This window comes from Homo sapiens, chromosome 18 (assembly GCF_000001405.40).
Source record: "Homo sapiens chromosome 18, GRCh38.p14 Primary Assembly".
Taxonomy (NCBI): Eukaryota; Metazoa; Chordata; class Mammalia; order Primates; family Hominidae; genus Homo; species Homo sapiens.
In genome coordinates this window covers 36,217,435-36,234,577 of record NC_000018.10, presented here as the reverse complement: position 1 = coordinate 36,234,577, position 17,143 = coordinate 36,217,435, and the positions used below count along the sequence as shown (strand labels likewise).

General features: G+C 38.8%; 1 protein-coding gene across 1 annotated transcript in view; it reads right to left on the bottom strand.

Annotated features, from left to right (window-relative positions):
• Positions 1-17,143, bottom strand: part of MOCOS (molybdenum cofactor sulfurase) — an 84,661-nt gene that overhangs the window by 37,580 nt on the left and 29,938 nt on the right. The window contains exon 9 of the mRNA NM_017947.4: positions 14,361-14,523. Within this exon, the coding sequence (NP_060417.4) occupies positions 14,361-14,523 (163 nt within the window). The remainder of the gene's footprint in view (positions 1-14,360; positions 14,524-17,143) is intronic.

The following is a 17,143-nucleotide window of genomic DNA, read 5'->3' as shown; positions in this document are numbered from 1 at the left end:
CGTCATCATTATTCACAGAACTAGGAAAAAATGATCCTAAAATCCGTATGGAAACAAAAAAACAGCCCACTTAGCCAAAGCAAGACTAAGCAAAAAGAAAAATCTGAAGGCATCACATTACCCAACTTCAAACTATAATACAAGGCTACTGTTACCAAAACAGCATGGCACTGGTATTAAAGCAGGCACACAGACCAATGGAACAGAATAAAGAACCCAGAAATAAAGCCAAATACTTACAGCCAACTGATCTTCGACAAAGCAAACAAAAACAAAGTGGGGAAAGGACACCCTATTCAACAAATGGTGCTGGGATAACTGGCCAGCCACATGTAAAAACATGAAAATGGATCCTTATCTCTCACCTTATACAAAAATCAACTGAAGATGGATCAAAGACTTAAATCTAAGACATGAAACCATAAAAATCCTAGAAGGTAACATTGGAAAAACCCTTCTAGATATTGCGGTAAGCAAAGAATTCATGACCAAGAACCCAAAAGTAAATGCAACTAAAACAAAGATAAATAGATGGGACCTAATTTAAAAAGCTTCTGCACAGCAAAAGAAATACCCAGAAAAGTAAAGAGACAATCCACAAAGTGAGAGAGAATATTTGCAAACCACGCATCTGACGAAGGACTAATATCCAGAATTCTACAAGGAACTCAAACAAATCAGCAACAAAAACCAAATAATCTCATCAAAAAGTGGGCTAAGGACATGAATGGAAATTTTTCAAAAGAAGATATACAAATGGCCAACAAACATGAGAAAATGCTCATCATTACTAATTATCAGGGAAATGCAAATCAAAACCACAATGTAATACCACCTTACTCCTGCAAGAATGACCATAATTTAAAAATTGAAAAATAATCGATGCTGGCATAGATGTGGTGAAAAGGGAACACTTTACACTGCTGGTGGGAATGTAAACTAGTAAAACCACTATGGAAAACAATATGGAGTTTCCTTAAAGAACTAAAAGTAGAACCACAATTTGATCCAGCAACCCTACTACTGGGTATTTACCCAGAGGAAAAGAAGTCATTATATAAAAAAGACACTTGTGCACATATGTTTATAGCAGCACAATTCACAATTGCAAAAATATGGAACCAGCCTAAATGCTCATCAGCCAATGCGTGGATAAAGAAAATATGATGTGGGTATACAAACACACAAACACCATGGAATACTACTCAGCCATTAAAAGGAACTAAATAATGGCATTTGCAACAATCTGGATAGAGTTGGAGACCATTATTTTTAGGGAAGTAATTCAGGAATGGAAAACAAACATTGTATGTTCTCTCTTATAAGTGGAAACTAAGCTATGGGGATATAAAGACATAAGAATGACATAATGGACTCTGGAGACTTGCAGAAAAGGGTGGAGGGGAGTTGAGAGATAAAAGATTATCAACTGGGTGCAGTGTACACTGCTCGGGTGATGAGTACACCAAAATCTCAGAAATCACACCTAAAGAACTTACCCATGTACCTAAACACCACCTGTTTCCCAAAAACTATTGAAGTGATAATAATAATAATAACGAAGGAGAGGAAAATCAGTATGTTTAAGATATATCTGCATTCCCATTTTTATTGCAGCACTATTCACAGTAGCCAAGTTATGGAATCAACTTAAGTGTTCATCAATTAATGAATGGATAAAGAAAATGGTGTGTGTGTGTGTGTGTGTGTGTGTGTGTGTGTAATGGAATATTATTCAGCCATAAAAAAGAAGGAAATTATGTTATTTGCAGCAACATGGATGAGCCTGAAGGACATTATGTTAAGTAAAATAAGCCAGGCATAAAAAGACAAATACTGCATGTTCTCACTCATATGTGGGAATTTTTTAAGTTGATCTCATAGAAGTAAAGAGTAGAATAGTAGTTACCAAAAGCAGGGACGGGTAGGATAAAGAAGGGGATAGGGAGAGGTTGGTTAATGGGTACAAAATTACAGGTATATAGGAGGAATAAGGTCTAGTATTCTGTAGCACAATAGGGTGACTATGGTTAACAATAATTTATTAAATATTTCAAAATAGCTAGAAAAGAGGATTTTAAACATCCTCAACACAAAGAAATGATAAATATTTGAGGTGATGAATATGCTATATAATTACACTGATTTGATCATTACACTGATTTTATTATTACATATTGTATGCATGTATCAAAGTATCACATTGTACACCATAAATATGTACAATTACTGTATCTGTTCAAAATTAAAAAGGAATAACTGTAAATCAAAGCTCATTATTATGAAATATACAATAATTTTAAGGTCAGGCATGGTGGCTCATACCTGGAATCTCAGCAATTTCAGAGGCCGAGGCAGGTGGATCGCTTGAGCTCAGGAGTTTCAGACCAGCCTGGGCAACATGGCAAAACCCCATCTCTACTGAAAATATCAAAAATTAGCTGGATGTGGTGGCACATGCCTGTGGTCCCAGCTACTCCGGAGGCTGAGGTAGCAGGATCGCTTGAGGCTTGAGCCCAGGAGATGGAGGTTGCAGTGAGCTGAGATTGTGTCACTGCACTCCAGCCTGGGTGACACAGTGAGAACGTGTCTCAAAAAAACCAAAACAACAAAAAAAAGAATTTTAATGACACTAGAATTTGGTTGGATCAAGGAAGTGCCTGGGTCTTAGAAATCTTTTTATAACATGAAGACTTTCTTCATCATTATCAGTGCCACCAATAGTATGTGCACTGAGCAAGTTTTTTATGGAAGAGCCTGAATGGGGGCGATCACATCCAAGGCCCCAGGGACACTCTGTAAATTATTTTGAAAGATTTCTGTACTTCTGGATCATCCACATCGTGGGTCATTGTTCTCTAAGCTACCTTCAATCCTTTAGAAATAGACAGACAAGCATGAAGGCTCATTCTGTAAAGATATCAGCATAGAGTGTCAAATCTCATTAGCCTCTAGGAGTTAGCATCAAATTGGATTCCTGCATCAATCATCGTTATTGCTAAAAAACAAACAAACAAAACAAACAAACAAACAAAAAACTTACTATGTCACAGTAGAGTTGGAAAGCTAGTCTTTTTTCTATGTTATACACATCATATATATAAAGGAATGCGTAACATGCATAGGTAACAGTTCAAAATAACAATAATTAATGTATGTTAATATCCTGGGTACTTGAACTTGAACAAGAATAATTTAATAACAATGGGCTATAATCACTCTCACTGATAAAAACAGACACAAACATCACTAAAATATTAGCAAACCAAACCCAGCAATGTATTAGAAAGTCATTGCCAAGTGTACTTTTTCCTTAAGATACCAAATATATAGCTCAGTTATAGACAATCTAGTAATGTAATACATCATATTAATAGCTTATGGGAAAAAATATGATAAACAAATACAGAAAAAGCGTTCAGTAAGAAATAAATTTAGTCATGATAAAAATTTTGGCAAAATAGGAAAAGAACTACTTTAGCCTGATAAAATAAATCAATCAAAAACCTACAATAAACATCATTCTTATTTTTGAAACTTCAGAAGCATTCCACTCAAGTTGGTAATAAAGAAGAATGTCTTCCATCAGTGCTCCATTCCTCATTATATAGGAAAGATTAACAAATGCAGTAAGACAAAAATTAACAGAAATAAAAATGAAAAAGAAAGGTACAAAACTATCATTATTAGAAGATGACATGGAAATCAGAACCTAATTGACAGGCTCCTGAACCCCAGAACATGAAACCAGACTCACTGAAACTGGTAGGGAGATTTCCAGCACCGTCTCCACAGACACCTGGCCCACAGTGCAGTGCCATACAATCAGGAAGAGAGCCCCTCACTCTCAGCTTCACTCAGGGAAGAGAAGGGGCTGGTTTGTGTGTCTAGCACCCCAACCTTTCCAAGAGAGCTCCCTAGAGGACTGGCTTCTGTCTTCTCAGTCTTAGAGCTCTGATGGGCCTGGCACAGTGAAGCCACTCGCAAGAGAATGGAGGTAGCATCTTGAGCTCCCCAGTGCTCATCACACCATAAGCAGATAGAAAACATAGTTGCCTGATTATCCTAAGGGACGAAAGAGTTGGTAGTGACCCCCTGAATCTCTGGCCAATCTGATTGGTAGGGGTCTTCTTTTATGAGGCCAGTCGGTGAAGACTAGGAGAGTTGCTTGCTTTGTCTAATGCATAGACACAGGCTGGGCACAGTGGCTCATGTCTGTAATCCCAGCACTTTGGGAGACCAAGGTGGGTGGATCACCTGAGGTCAGGAGTTCGAGACCAGCCTGGCCAACATGGTGAAATCCCATCTCTAAAAATACAAAAAAATTAGCCTGGTGTAGTGGTGCACACCAGCTGTAAACCCAGCTACTCGGGAGGCTGAGGCATGAGAATCGCTTGAAACCTCAGGGCAAAGGTTGCAGTAAGCCGAGATCGTGCCACTGTACTCCAGCCTGGGTGACAGAGCAAGATGTCTTGAAACAAAGAAACAAACAAGTAATGCACAGACACCAACACAGACACTTGAGGAAAATGAAGAATCAGGCAAAGATGTTCCAAACAAAAGAACAAGATAAATTTCCAGCAACTGACCCTAATGAAACAGAGTAATATGGTTTACCTGACAGAGAGTTTAAAATAACTCTATAAAGACAGTCACCAAAGTCAAGAGAACAGTGCATGAACAAAATGAATAGTTCGACAAGGAAATAGAAAATGTTAAAAGTACCAGATAGAAATCATGGAGGTGAAGGACACAGTAACTGAACTAAAAAATTTATTATAAGAGAGGTTCAACAGCAGACTAGATCAGCAAAAGAAAAGATAAGCAAACTTGAAGACAGGTCACTGGAAATAATTCAGTCAGAGGAGCAAAAAGAAGTAAAAATTTAAAACAGTGAAGTAAGCCTAGGGGAATTATGAGACATCATCAAGTGGACCAATATATACATTATGGGAGTCTAAAACTTTGAAAAGAGTGAGAAAAGAAAAGAAAGCTTATTCAAAGAAAGAATGGCTGAAAACTTCCCAAATCCAGGAAGAAAATGGACATCCAAATTCAAAAAGCCCAACAGATACCAAATAAGATAAATCTGAAAAAATCCACGCCAAGACACATATAATCAGATTGCCAAAAGTCAAAAGGAAGGAAAAAGGCAAGGGAAAACTGACTTGTCATATACAAGGGAACCCTCATAATACAATCAGTGGATTTTTTTCAGCAGAAATTTTGTAGGCCAGACAAAGTAGAATGATATATTCAAACTATTAAAAGAAACAAACCTGCCAACAAGAATACCATACCAAGAAAAAGCTGAGAAAATTTATCACTACTAGACCTGATTTATAAAAAATGCAAAAGAAAGTTCCTCAAGTGGAAACTATAGGACACTAAACAACAACACAATAGCATAAGAAAGCATGAAATTTGCTATAAAGTAAATATGTAGACAAATAAATAATATTATGTTACTATTGGTAGTGGGTAACTCATTTTTAATCCTAGCATAAAGGTCAAAAGACAAAAATATTTAAAATAGCTACAAAAATATGTCAAAAATAAGTCAAAAGACAAAAGTATTAAAGAATAACTACAAAAATAGGTTAAAATATATGCAGTCCACAATGGCTAATGCTTGTAATTCCAGCTACTAGGGGGCTGGGGCAGAAGGATTTCTTGAGGCCAGGAGTTTGAAACCAGCTTGGGAAACATGGCGAGATCTCATCTTTTTTTTTTTTTTTTTTCAACTTTTAAGTTCCGTGGTACAAGTGCAGGTTTATTACATAGGTAAACTTGCGTTATGGGGGTTTGTTATACAGATTATTTCATCACCCAGGTATTAAGCCTAATACTCATTAGTTATTTTTCCTGATCCTCCCCATCCTCCCACCCTCCACCCTCCTGTAGGTCTCAGTGTCTATTGTTCCCCTCTATGTGTTCATGTGTTCTCATCATTTAGCTCCCATTTATAAGTGAGAACATGTGGTATTTGGTTTTCTGTTCCTATGTTGGTTTGCTAAGGCTAATGGCCTCCAGCTTCATCTATGTCCCTGAAAAAGACATTATCTCATTCTTTTTTATGACTGCATAGTATTCCATGGTGTATATGTACCACATTTTCTTTATCCAGTCTATTATTGATGGGCATTTAAGTTGATTCCATGTCCTTGCTATTGTGAATTGTGTCACAAATGTACGTATGCATGCATGTGTTTTTATAATAGAATAATTTATATTTCTTTGGGTATATACCCAGTAATGGGATTACTGGGTCAAATGGTATTTCTGTCTTTAGGTGTTTGAGGAATCACCAGACTATCTTCCACAATGGCTAAACTAATTTACAGTCCCACCAACGGTGTATAAGCATTCCTTTTTCTCCACAACCTCATCAGCAACTGTTATTTTTTTACTTTTTAATAATACTCATTCTGACTGGTGTTAGATGATATCTCATTGTGGTTTTGATTTGCATTTCTCTAATGATCAGTGATGTTGAGCTTTTTTTCATATGATTGTTGGCTGCATATATGTCTTCTTTTGAAAAGTGTTTGCTCATGTTCTTTGCCTACTTTTTATGGGGTTGTTTCTTGTAAATTTGTTTAAGTTCCTTATAGATGCTGGATATTAGACCTTTGTCAGATGCATAGTTTGCAAAAATTTTCTCCCATTCTATAGGCTGTCTGTTTACTCTGTTGATCATTCCTTTTGCTGTGCAGAAGCTCTCTAGTTTAATTATATCCCATTTGTCAATTTTTGCTTTTGTTGCAATTGCTTTTGCTGTCTTCACTATGAAACCTTTGCCCTTACTTATGTCCTGAATGGTATTGCCTAGATTGGAGAGAACTCATCTTTTTAAAAGTTTTAAAAATTTAGTTGGGCATGGGCCAGGCACAGTGGCTCACACCTATAATCCCCATACTTTGGGAGGCCGAGACAGGCAGATCACCTGAGGTTAGGAGTTCAGGACCAGCCTGGCCAACGTGGTGAAACCCCATCTCTACTAAAAATACAAAAATTAGCTGGGTGTGGTGGCATGCACTTGTTATCCCAGCTACCCGGAAAGCTGAGGAAGAAGAATCTCTTGAACCCAGGAGGCAGAGGTTGCAGTGAGCTGGGATCATGCCACTGCACTCCAGCCTGGGTGACAGAGCGAGACCCCATCTCAAAAAAAAAAAAAATTTAGCTGGGCATGGCAGCACATATCAGTAGTCCCAGCTACTCGGTAGGGTAAGGCAGGAGGATCACTTGAACCCAGGAGTTCAAAACTGTAATGAGCTATGATCATGTCACTGCACTCCAGCCTGGGCAACAGAGTGAGACCACATCTCTTAAAATATATACATATGTGTTAAAAGATACAAATATGGGCCAGGGGTGGTGGCTCATGCCCATAATTCCAACACTTTGGGAGGCCAAGGAGGATGGATTGCTTAAGTTCAGGAGTTCAAGACCAACCTGAGCAACATGGTGAAACCCTGTCTCTAAAAAAAAAAATACAAAAATTAGCCAGGCATGGTGGCATGTGTCTGCTTAGGACTTAGCTTAGGACTTAGCTTAGGACTACTCAGGAGGCTTAGGTGGGATGATTGCTTGAGCCTAGGTGGCAGAGTTTGCAGTGAGTCAAGATCACACCACTGTACTCCAGCCTGGGCAACAGAGCAAGACCCTGTCTCAAAAAAAAAAAAAAAAGATACACATCATGAATAGATGTAAATCCTGACAACCATACGTAAAGTATGGGGAGCAAAGCTTAAAGTGTAGAGTTATGTATGTGATTAAACTTGCTGTCAGCTTAAAATAGACCGTTATAACTCTAAGATATTTTATGTAAGCCTCGAAATAACTACACACCAAAAAAAAAAAGAAAAAACCTATAGAAGTTACACAAAAAGGAAAAGACAAAGGAATTAAAGCCCATTAATATAAAATATCAACAAAACACAAAGACAGCAAGAGGTGAAAAGACAGACAAAAGAACTATAAGACTAACAGAAAACAACTAGCCAAATGGCAATATTAAATCCTTATCAATAATTACTCTAAATATATTTGATTAAACTCTCCAATCAAAAGACTTAGAGTGGCTGAATAAAAAAAAAGAAGCATAAAAAGACATAAAAAAAAACCCAACTGTATGCTGTTTAAAAGAAACTGACATTAGGTTTAAGGATATACATAGACTGAAAGTAAACAGATGGAAAAAGATATTCCATGCAAATGGTAACCAAAAGAGAGTAGGAGTGGCTATAATTATGTCCATTAAAATGGACTTTAAGTCAAAAACTGTCACAAGAGATAAAGAAGGACATTTTATGATGATAAAATGATCAATCCACCAGGAGTATATAACAATTATAAATATATATGCACCCAACATCAGAGCACCTAAATACATAAAGCAAACATTGACAGAACCGAAAGGAGAAATAGACAGCAAAAGAAAAATAAATTCAATAATGGACAGAACATGCAAACTGAAGATCAAGGGAGGACTTGAATCATACTGTAGACCAAATGGACCTAACAAACATACATAAAACGTTTCACCCAACAGCAGAAGAATACACATTCTTCTAAGGCACACACGGATCTTTCTCCAGGATAGATCATGTTAGGTCTTAAAACAAGACTTAAAAAAAAAAAAAAAGACAATGAATTTAAAAAGATTGAAATCATATCAAGTTTCTGACCACAATGAAATGAAACTAGAAATAGTAGCAGCAAGAAAATGGAAAAATTCACAAATATGTGGAAATGAAACAACACACTCTTAAATGACCATTTGATCAAAGAAGAAAATTTTAAAAATTATAAAATACCAAAGACAAATGAAAACATAAAATATCAAAATTTATGGGATATGGCAAAAGCAGTACTAAATAGTAAGCTCATGGCAGTAAGTGTCTACAGTAAAAAAGAAGAAAGATCTCAAACAACCTAATTTTACACCACAAGGAACTAGAAAAAGGAGAACAAAGTAAACCCAAATTTAGCACAAGGAATGAAACAACAAAGATTGCAATGGAAATAAATAAAATTGAAAAATGGAAAACATTAACAAAACTAAGTTGGATTTTTGAAAAACAGAACTGACAAGCTTTTATCTAGACTAAGAAAAATAGAAAACTTGCCGGGCACAGTGGCTCACGCTTGTAATCCCAGCACTTTGGGAGGCCAAGGCAGGCAGATCACGAGGTCAAGAGATCGAGACCATCCTGGCCAACATGGTGAAACCCTCTCTCTACAAAAAGTACAAAAATTAGCTGGGCATGGTGGTGCGCACCTGTAGTCCCAGCTACTCGGGAGGCTGAGGCAGGAGAATCACTTGAACCCAGGAGGCGGAGGTTGCAGTGAGCCGAGATCGTGCCACTGCACTCCAGCCTGGCAACAGAATGAGACTCCGTCTCAAAAACAAACAAACAAAACAAAAAAAAAGAAAAGAAAAATTGAAAACTCAAAATCTGAAATGAAATGAGACACTATAAATAATGCCACAAAAATAAAATATTCTAAGAAATTACTATAAACAACTATATGCCAACAAACTGGATAACCTAGAAGAAATGAATAAATTCCTAGAAACATACTATCTATCGAAACTAAACATGAACAAAATAAAGCCTGAGCAAACCTACAACTAGTATGAAGATTGAATCAGTAATCAAAAACCTCTCAACAAAGAAAAGCCTACATCCAAATGGCTTCACTGCTGAATGCTATCAAATATTTAAAGAAGAATTAATACTAAATCTTCTCAAACTCTACTTAAAAACTAAGAGGAGGGAACATTCCCAAACTCATTTTATGAGGCCAGCATTATCTTGATACTAAAGGCAGGCAAAGACAACTGCAGGCCAATATCCCTGACGAATATAAACACAAACATCCTCAACAAAACTTAATCTAACAGTACATTAAAAGGATCATACACCATGAGAAAGTGAGCTTTATTCCTGGGATGTAAGGATGATTCAACATATGAAAATCAATTAATGTGACATACTACATTAACAGAATAGAGGAGAAAATTACATATTCATCTCAATGGACACAGAAAAAGCATTTGACAAAATTCAGCACCCTCTCATAATAAAAACTTAATAACCTAGGAATAGAACATGTTACCTCAAGATAATAAATGCCATATGAAAAGCCTACAACTAACATTATACTCCATGATGAAAAACTGAAAACTTTTTCTCTTAAGATCAGGAACAAGGCAAAGAAGCCCATTCTTGCCTCCACTATTTGACATAGTACTGGAAGTTCTAGTCAGAGCAATTAGGCAAGAAAAAGAAATAAAAGACATTCAAATTGGAAAAGGGAAGTAAAATTGTCCTTGTTTGATCAAAAAACATGATCTTATATATTCAAAAAATTCTAAATACTCCATTTTAAAAAACTGTTAAACTAATAAATGAATTCAGTAAAGTTGCAGGATACAGGATACACATCAACATGCAAAAATCTATTGCATTTCTATACACTAAAAACAAACTCTCTGAAAAGGAAATAAGAAGACCAATCCCACTTATAATAGCACAAAAAAAAGAGTACAATACCTAGAAATGAACTCATCTAGACCAGGCATGGTGGCACATGCCTGTTGTCCCAGCTACTCAGGAGGCTGAAGCAGGAGGATTGCTTGAGCCCAGGAGTTCAAGGCTGCAGTGAGTTGTGATCATGCCACTCTATTCCAGTTTGGGCAACAGAGTGAGACCCTAAATCTCTTTTAAAAGAACAAAAGAAACTTATCTAAGGAGGTGAAATACTCACATTCTGAAAACTACAAAACATTGATGAAAGAAATAAGACACAAACAAGAAATTAAACAAATGGAAAGGCACTCCATGTTCATGGATTAGAAGAATTAATATTGTTAAAATGTCTATAGAGCCCAAAGCAATCCGCAGATTCAATGCAATCCCTATCAAAATCGCAATGGCATTTTTTTACAGAAATAGAAAGAACGATCCTAAAATTCATATAGACCCACAAAAGATGACAAATAAACTAATTAATCTTGAGAAAGAAGAACAAAGCTGGAGTTGTCACAATTCCTGATTTTAAAATATATCACTATAGCTATAGTAATCAAAGCAGTATGGTACTGGCACAAAGACAGATACACAGACTAATGAAACAGGCTAGAGAGTCCAGATATAAATCCATGCATATATGGTTACATGATCTTTGGAAAGGGTGTCAAGAAAACACAATGGAGAAAAGATAGTCTTTTCAACAAATGGTGTTGGGAAAACTGGATATCCACATGTAAAAGAATAAAATTGGACCCTTATCTTACATCATACAAAAACTTCAACTCAAATGGATTAGAGATTTAAGCACAAGATCCCAAAATGTAAAGCTCCTGGCAGAAAACATAGGGGAAAAACTTCATGACATTGGTCTTGGCAATAACTTTGTGAATATGACACCCAAAGCACAAGTAACAAAAACAAAAATACACAAATGGGACTATATCCAACTAAAAAGCTTCTGCACAGCAAAGGGAACAATTAAAAAAGTGAAAAGGCAACCTGTGGAATGGGAGAAAATATTTTCAAACCATTTATCTGAAAAAGTAGTTAACCTCAAAGATATATAAGGAACTCCTACAACTCAGCAGTAAACAAACAAACAGAAAACCAAATAACCTAATTTAAAAATGGGTTAGTGGCTGGGCGCGATGGCTCACGCCTGTAATCCCAGCACTCTGGGAGGCCGAGGCAGGCAGATCACAAGGTCAGGAAATCGAGACCATCCTGGCTAACACGGTGAAACCCCGTCTCTACTAAAAATACAAAAATTAGCCAGGCGTAGTGGCGGGCGCCTGTAGTCCCAGCTACTGGGAAGGCTGAGGCAGGAGAATGGCGTGAACCTGGAAGGCAGAGCTTGCAGTGAGCCAAGATCGCGCCACTGTACTCCAGCCTGGGCGACAGAGCGAGGCTCTGTCTCTAAAAAAAAAAAAATTAAAAAATTAAAAAAAAAAAATGGGTTCAAGACCTGAATAGGTATTTCTAGGTATTCCTCCAAAGAAGATGTACTAATGGTCAATGGGTATATGGAAAATGTTTAACATCACTAATAATGAGGGAAATGCAAATTGAAATCAAAATGAGATATCACTCTACCCCTGTCAGGATGGCTATTGTCAAAAGAAAACAAACAAAAGACAGTAAGTAAGTGTTGTCGAGAATGTGGAAAAACTTGAGCCCTTGCAACCACTGGTGGGTATGTAAAATTTTTCAGTTAATATGAAAAACAATATTGAGATTTCTTAGAAAATTAAAAATAAAACTATCAAATGATCCAGTGATCCCACTTCTGGGTACTTATCCAAAATAATTTCAACCAGGATACCGAAGAGATATTAGCACTCCCAATGTTCATTGCAGCTCTATTTCCAATAGCCAAGATATGGATACAATCTAAATGTCCATTAAGAGATGAACAAAGTAAATATGGTATACTCATTTAATGGAATACTACTCAATCTTAAAAGAGATTCTGCAATATGTGACAACAGACAATTTAAACAAATGGGATAATAGGGCCAGCGCAGTGGCTTATGCCTGTAATCCCAGCACTTTGGGATGCCAAGGTGGGCAGATCACCTGAGGTCGGGAGTTCGAGACCAGCCTTACCAACACGGAGAAACCCTGTCTCTACTAAAAATACAAAATCAGCCAGTCATGGTGCTGCATGCCTGTAATCCCAGCTACTCGGGAGGCTGAAGCACAAGAATCGCTGAACCCAGGAGGCAGAGGTTGCAGTGAGCCGAGATCACGCCATTGCACTCCAGCCTGGACAACAAGAGTGAAACTCTGTCTCAAAAAAAAAAAAAAACAATGGGATATCAAGACTTATTCTATAACTCTAGTAATAACACTGGCCTCTTGGTTCAAGGAAAAATAAACCACGGGAACAGAACAGAACAGAACAGAACAGAACAGAACAGAACAGAACAGAACACTTACAGCCAAGAAACACAATCGTGAATATATGGAAATGTTATATATCACAAAAGTACAACTGCAAGTTAGTGGAATGGGAAAGGAGGAGGAGTAAGACTCAGGAGAGGTCCACAGGAAATTTCTGCTGTATCTGTAATGTCTTTTACCTTTTTTTAACCCAGCACCACAACTGCTATGTAATGTTTTATGTATGTACGTATGTGTGCTAAAAAAGAAAAAGGAAGAGGAGGAGGAGGACCTAAAGGAAATGTGGCCAAATGTTAAGATTTGCTAAAATTGAATGCTGTAATTGTGTATTATTCTTTATACCCGTGCTGTCCAACACTGTAGCATAGCTACACGTAGCTATTTAAACTAATTAAAATTAAGTAAAATTTAAAATTCAGTTCTAGTGTCCCACTAGCCACATTTCAATAGTCACAAGTGACTGGTGGCCACTAAACTGGACAAGGTATAGTTTGAACATTTTCATCACCACAGAAAGTTCTACTAAACAGAGTGGGCCTATACTTTTCTATTGGTTTGATCATTCATGTCACTCATAACAAAATCAACAAGGATGAATTAAAGCCTGCAGTATACATGATGATGAGTGAAGAAAATAAAAGAAACTTAAGTAAATAGGACATCATCTAATTAATATAAAGTTTATACTTTTTTTTTTTTTCTTTTGAGACATCATCACCCTCTGTTGCCCAAGCTGGAGTGCAGTGGTGCGATCTGGGCTCACTGCAGCCTCCACCTCTGGGGCTCAAGCGATACTCCTGCCTCAGCCTCCCAAGTACCCAAGTAGCTGGGATCACAGGCACGTGCCACCATGCCCAGCTTCTTTTTGTATTTTTAGTAGAGAAGGGGTTTCGTCATGTTGGCCAGTCTGGTCTCGAACTTTTGACCTCAAGTGATCTGCCCACCTCTGCAGTGCTGGGATTACAAGCGTGAGCCACCGCACCTGGCCCCTCTTTACCGTCTGATTGAACTGTCAGATCTTTCTGTCTCCCGAAATTTCCCAAAATCAAGGGGAACAAACTCTTTGTTGTGTTTCCTAGACACTATTTCCCTTACTTTCAGGTTATTTTACCCATTTTTTCCCTTGATACAAGGTCTTGCTCTGTCGCCCAGGCCGGAATGCAATGGCATGATCTCGATTCACTGCAACCTCCACCTCCCGGGTTCAAGTGATTCTTGTGCCTCAGCCTCCTGAGTAGCTGAGATTACAGGCACGTGCTCCCACACCCAGGATAATTTTTTTTTTTTTTTTGTAGAGATGAGGTCTCACTGTATTGCCCAGGCTGATGGGTTATTCTAACACTTGGTAGAGTATTTCATATGAATATAAAAGCTGCTGTTGGGAGCTGCTCTGTGAAAATGAAGCAGTTTTCCCACCTTTGGCTTTGATGACCATGATCCTTTGCCGCAAGTCGATGAAGGGCTGGATCAGGCAGAGCCGGGGTTCCTGCTTCTGACTCAGGCAAACACCATTGTGATTCACAACCATCCAGCTCCGGTCATATAGCAGCCCTTGGTTTCCTACAGGCCACCTGGTCACCTAAACAAAAAGGTAGACGTGTCTCAGGCCAGGGCTCCCCAAAGTTGGTCTTCACCTATTTGTACAGTGGCTACACAAACACAGATAGACTTCATGAATTCAGCACCTACACTGGAAGGAAGAAAGGGAGGAAGAGAAGAAACTAAAACAGAGAGGACAGTGCAAAGAAGATGATGTAGGAGCTGGATATCTCCCATTCAGCCTCCAGGTCCACACTCCACCCTTCTCCACTTCGAGCCATGTTTTAAGTAGGTAATGCCTGACATTCAGAGAGTACAAGAGTCTACAGTGAAAAGCAAGCCTCCTTTCCCAGCTGGCTCCAGCCATTGCTCTTTTTTTGCTGTTTTTTAATTTGTTTGTTTGTTTGTTTGTTTTTAAGATGGAGTCTTGCTCTGTCGCCCAGGCTGGAGTGTAGTGGTGCAATCTCAGCCCATTGCAACCTCTGCCTCCTGGGTTTAAGCTATTCTCCTGCCTCAGCCTCCTGAGTAGCTGGGATTACAGGCACCTGCCACCATGCCCGGCTAAGTTTTGTATTTTTAGTAAAGACAGGGTTTCACCATGTTAGCCAGGCTGGTCTCAAACTCCTGACCTCAAGTGATCCACCTGCCTTTGCCTCCCAAAGTTCTGGGATTACAGGCATGAGCCACCACGCCCACCCCTTTGCTCTTGTATATCCTTCCTTAGCAGTGGTGTCTGTCCAGGTATTTCATAATAGTATAGACATATTTTTCTACTAAAAATACAAAAAATCAGCTGAGAGAATTGCTTGAACCTAGGAAGCGGAGGTTGCAGTGAGCCGAGATCATGTCATTGCACTCCAGCCTGGGCGACAAGAGTGAGACTCTGTGTCAAAAAAAAAAATAAAATAAAATAATAATAATAATAAATAGCCAGGCATGGTGGCTCATTCCTATAATCCCAGCACTTTGGGAGACTGAGGCGGGCAGATCACGAGGTCAGGAGTTCAAGACCATCCTGGCCGACATGGTGAAACCCCATCTCTACTAAAAATACAAAAATTAGCCGGGCTTGATGGCAGGCGCCTGTAGTCCTAGCTGCTCTGGAGGCTGAGGCAGGAGAATCAATTGAACCCAGGAGGCGGAGCTTGCAGTGAGCCAAGATCGTGCCATTGCACTCCAGTCTGGGCGACAGAGCGAGACTTCATCTCAAAAATAAATAAATAAATAAATAAATAAATAAATAAATAAATAAATAAAATAAAATAAAGTGAGTAGAGCTGGGCGCAGTGGCTTATGTCTGTAACGCCAGCACTTTGGGAGGTTGAGGCAGGGGGATCACTTGAGGCAAGGAGTTCAAGACCAGCCTGATCAACATAGCAAGACCCTGTCTCTAAAAAAAATGAAAATTAAAAAGTAGCCAGGCATGGTGGTGTATGCCTGTAGTCTCAGCTACTCAAGAGGCAGAGGCGGGAGGATAGCTTGAGACCAGGAGTTCAAAACTGCAGTGAGCTTTGATGGCAGCACTGTATTCCAGCCTGGGAGACAGAGTGAGATCCCATCTCGAAAAAATAATAATAAGCAAATGAATAAATGGATAAAGTGAGTAGCAAGTAAGAAGTCTTTCAGCACAGAAGAAAGCTCCCTGAGAAACTAGTTTTAAACTGTTTCCCCAAAAAGATGCTGGCTTTTTCGAAGACCCGGAAGATAAGGTACAAATGTTCTTCCTGGTGGTGTGTTTCTCTAAAAGAAAAAAAAAAAGCCATAAAAGGTAAAATTAAATTTGACAGAGTCTGCTGATGGAAAAAATTAAAACCACCAGTTAGGTGGGTATAGGTATCAAAAGCTGACATCACAGAATAACAAGAGGCATTGATTATTTCTAACTTTGCTTGTTTTCCTTCCATCAGGGTCTCTGAAGTGCAGTTTCCCAGCCTACAGCTGACCTGTATAAGAGGTGTAGCCGTCCCACCAGCAGCTCCCTCCTGCTGCTCCTTCCACCATATCTCTGGGTTCACCTACCACAGATGCCAAGCCTTGTCGCCCCATCCTGCTTTTGCAAGATGGTGAGATCCTAAACTAATGGAGATGATGTTCTTTGGGTTGACCGTTCTGGTATAGAAGTTCAGCTGTGGAGCAATAGAAGCAGCTTCATGTAATTGTGAGAAGGGCCCAAGTTCAGAAACAGAGGCCCACATTGAGGAAAGGCTGCAGCATCCTCACAAGATGTCATGGTGGTTCCCTAAGCCATCTGGGGGTTTAGTTGGGAATAAACAGCTGTGGGTTACATTCTGTAAGTTTCATACATCCCCTCCACTTATTTCCTAAGCTACAAGACCAATTCAGTTTTCATCTCGTTTCTTCTTTGAACCTTTATTTTAGCAAGGATGTGCTTTCTCTGAGTACAGAGAGAATTAGTCCAATTTCGTCTCTGCTGGCTTCCTGCTCCTGCCCTTTGCAGGAGCGGTTGTCCACAGGTTAGGTTTTAACAGCACCAGCAAGTGATAGCATGGGTGCAATGTCCCTTCAATGAGGGCTTTTCCTGAGCCAGCTGTCTGCTGAAGAAGGGTGTGGACAAAGGCAAAGGTTCAGAGTTCCAACCACAGAACTAGTCATAGATGTCCCTGCAGTGCACACATAAGGGAGCCCAGCTACCCTCAGTA